This window comes from Homo sapiens, chromosome 1 (genome assembly GCF_000001405.40).
Source record: "Homo sapiens chromosome 1, GRCh38.p14 Primary Assembly".
Classification (NCBI taxonomy): domain Eukaryota; kingdom Metazoa; phylum Chordata; class Mammalia; order Primates; family Hominidae; genus Homo; species Homo sapiens.
In genome coordinates this window covers 76,037,134-76,041,363 of record NC_000001.11, presented here as the reverse complement: position 1 = coordinate 76,041,363, position 4,230 = coordinate 76,037,134, and positions in this window count along the sequence as shown.

Genomic DNA, 4,230 nt, shown 5'->3' with positions numbered 1-4,230 from the left:
GGGAGGCAGAGGCGGGTGGATCACCTGAGGTCAGGAGTTCAAGATCAGCCTGGCCAGCATGGCGAAACCTCGTCTTACTAAAATTACAAAAAAAAAAAAAGTGAACCCAGGAGTAGTGGCAGGCGCCTGTAATCCTGGCTACTTGGGAGGCTGAGGCAGGAGAATTTCTTGAACCCGGGAGGAGGAGGTTGCAGTGAGCCAAGATCGCGTGATTGTACTCAAGCTTGGGTGTCAAGAGCAAAACTCCGTCTCAAAAAAAAAAAAAAAAAAAAAAAAACCGCCCTCCCCCACTCCTGACTGACTTCAAAACTCAGTTTGAAGTTGAGAGTTGAATCCAAGGAGTGGAGAGGGGAACTCGGGGAGTGGAGACATGCAGGCTCTATGGGCACTGGAAGCACGTCTGACACATAGGAGACATTTAGTAAATATTATTGAATTAATTAAAAACAACAGGAGTGGAGACAAAAATCTATGTGGGAGCTACAAATTAGATCTCCTTGTTTATTTTCTAAGAGTCCAATAAAGATTTGAATTGCTGTTAATTACTTTTGCTTGATGGATTGGAGTTCTTTCTGTGACACTCTGTGAGAGGAGAGAGAAAGAAATCAACTAGGCAGATAGGGCAAGGGTCCTAAGTAGAATTCCCTTCTAACAAAAAAGCAGCTTCTAACACAGAAAGGGGCCTCCTGTGTGACATACAGACATACAGTGGGCCCCAGTAAGCACAGTCCTCTCCCTTCTTGGAAATACTCAGACAAGGAGGTTTGCACAGCAGGGAGTGCCTGCAGCAGCACTGATAAGACGAGCTACCCTGGACCAGGAGCGTCCACTGTAGAGGGTCCCGCCTCCTGGCCTTTTTCACACATGCGCAGTGGGAAGAGATAGGCAACATGGAGTAACTCAGACTAAGGAGCCCGCATGAGCACTAGAAAAAGTGGGGTGGGAACTGTCAGAAATTTGAGCCTTATGTAAATGAAACACCCTCCCCACCAGCTTGTCTATAAAAACCCTTGCATTTCATTGTAAAATGGCAACCCATCTTTCTGGGACCCCTCTCTGCTCCCGAGAGCTTTCTTCCTTTCGCTTATTAAACTTCTGCTCTAACCTCACCTTTGGAGTGTCCGCATCCTTGATTTCCTCTGCCGTGATAACAAGAACTTCCAGTAATACCCAGACAATGAGGCTGGTTTCAACTCTTTGCCCTGGCTTTTATTCAAGTTACATACACACATTGTCATCTGCCACGCTGGGAAATTGATATCACTTAGTAAACCACAAAGCTGGTGTTAGAATGGGGTTTGTGACTCTTGTGGATGAGCATCCAATGACAAGATACATTTGCTTTTTACATATAAATATGTCTCCCTGGCCGGGCGCGGAGGCTCACGCCTGTAATCCCAGCACTTTGGGAGGCCGAGGCTGGTGGATTGCCTGAGGTCAGGAGTTCATGTGTGGCCAACACGGTGAGGCCCCTTCTCTACTAAAAATACAAAAAAATTAGCCGGGTGTGGTGACGTGCGCCTGTAATCCAGCTACTCGGGAGGCTGAGGCAGGGGAATTGCTTGAGCCAGGGAAGTGGAGGTTGCAGTGAGCCGAGATTGTACCACTGCACTCCAGCCTGAGCGACAGAGCAAGACTCCGTCTCAAAGAAAAAAAAAAAAAAAGTCTCCCCAAGAAAACCATAGAATGCTTACCATTTTAACATGTTATTTTAGAGAGGTGATAGTGCCAAATCCCTTATTACACAGGTACTAAGTTATAGACTTCCAGATGGAATGTAAGGAAATACAAAATATTTTTAATGAAGCAGTAGAATGAAAGTAAAAATGGGTGAAATGTATTTATACTTTGAAGAATAGCAGTTGAACATCTCTGGGTGCCAGACATTGTGCTGGGTGCAATGTAGCATTAGGAAATGTGGTTAGAGCATCAGAAAATCAGAAATTCTGATTTACATTAGGAGTGTGGTAAATGCATTTCTATCCATATGAGAATATAAGTTGAAATCATATAATTCCCTCCTTCTGGGAATGTTAACCTCCCTCTTTGGGGAATCTCGTCTCTCCCTGATTCTAGACATGCGGAGGTTCTAAAGGGGGCTTTACACGATAGGGCCCCGTTGTTTTGGCCACAATTGATGAGTCCAGAGATGGGCATCTAACCCAAACCAGCTAGAGATGTTGCTGAAGGTTTTGCTTCTCATTATGTAAAGAAGCTTGTCTGGAAAAAAAAAGCGGGGAATGGGGAGGTGGTGTGCAAAAGAAAAGGAAAGAAAAAGAGGGAGAGAAAGAGAGGCCTGAGAGAACAAGAGTCCCTAGCTCCATGGGCCTGTGCTCAGCCACACCCCTGCTTTCTCCTGCAGACAACTGAACTGATAAATTTCCATTTTTTACTAAACTAGCTTGAGTTACTTTTTTTTGTCACTAGTATTCAAAATGTTTCTAACTAATATACTTAATATGTTTAAAGTGGTATATATAAATAAGCAAGGGGCTTTGCTAAGCCAAAGAATTATTTTATGAGCCTTAAAAAAATTGACTTTTGAAACCAAAGCCTGTGTTTAAAATCCCAAGTTTATTGCTCACTAGTGGAGTAATCTTGGGCTACTGCCCTTGAACTGTGGTTTCAATACTACCTATAAAAAGCGATAAATACATACATTTATAGATACACATATATGTATATAACTTTTTGTCCTAAGGATCAAATGAGATAATATATATTAAACACTGTAAGTATAGTTCATTCTGTGAAAGGTGGTCATTGTTTTATACCCACTCTGATGATCCTGAATTAAAGGAAACAAAAGTTACAGACACGCTGTTGCTATACTGAAAGAATGTGGGCTGGAATGATTGAGGGAGTTTAAGAACATTCCTCAGTCAGATGGGGAGAGAATTATAGCCATGTTAAGTGAGCTCTTGGTAATTATTCAGAGCAAAGTCAGCAGAATTATTTTGCCACAGATAATACAGATAAGGGACCTGATAGAGTAAGTAGATTACCTCCTTTAGAGCTAATGCGAAACTATTTGGTAACATGAGAAAGAAAGTGGAAGAAATAGCACTTCTAGAGGTAACTAATGCTTTTCTGAAGATTCCTGGTTTTTTCCAGGGATCTCAGCATATCAACTGGACAACTTGATTAGACTCTATGTAGATACTGATGTCTGCGCATAGTCAGTCACTAGAGAAGGTGCACTAGTGGATCACTAGAGAATTATAAAAAGAACCTTAACTATTAATTTATGCAAAGGATTCTGGTAAGTTGTCTTAGATGAAGAATATGGTGCTAAAATTGCATCATTTGCAATCCTTGGTTGTGTGAACACAGTGTCACACTTTCTGGATTGATGATCTGCTTTTCAAAATTTGGCCAGTGGTTCAGCTATTTGAAGAAGTTATAAAGGCATCATCACAATGTTTAACGAAAGTGTAAAAGATCATCTGGGGCATCTCAGATTAATGCCAATTGAAAATCATAAGGGTGATCTGAAACACAACTTTAAAAATGCTAATTGGAACTTCCAGATGTCAAATACTCCACAGGAGATGGAAAATAAACAAGTAGACCTTCCTCCCCTCCACCCATTTTTCCTCATCCCTGCCATGTGAAATAACAAACAGCTTCAAATCACCTCCAACCAAAACGCAGCTGTTGTCTTCTGTATGTCACTTTCCCTGAGCCTCCAATGCGGCTCTCACCTCTAAAGCAAAGTACAGAAAATCGTTGTCTGCTTGGAGTTCCTAAGGCATGATATTCATCACCTGCTAGTATGACCTTTATCCTATAATGTTGCAGGTACTAAAGTAAGTGTTTGGTTTCCCATACATGACTTCAGGCAAAGTGCTAAGTGTATTCTTTGAGTCCTGGGACTTTGGACTCACAACACTTGTTGAATATTGGAGTTTCCTCTTACAGGACGGACATCTGCTTCCCACTGAGAAGTTGAGTACTGAGCCCTGGGTAATTTTAAAACTGCTCCACCTTCATCAGGACCTTTGGAGAAGCTTTCTTTGTCCTCATGTGGGTGTCACATTTGAAGAAAACCAACAAGAAGCCACTGAAGTTTTTAAGATAATTGACTTCCTCCAACTACATGGAAGACAAATAATTTAACTTAAAAAATAAGTGAGCCAGTTGTGATAGCCACGGAGGATGACAGTGTGGGAAAAAGATGGGTTCTCTCAGGCAAAGGGGACTGTGCCTCTCTAAAGCTATATGTCTGAG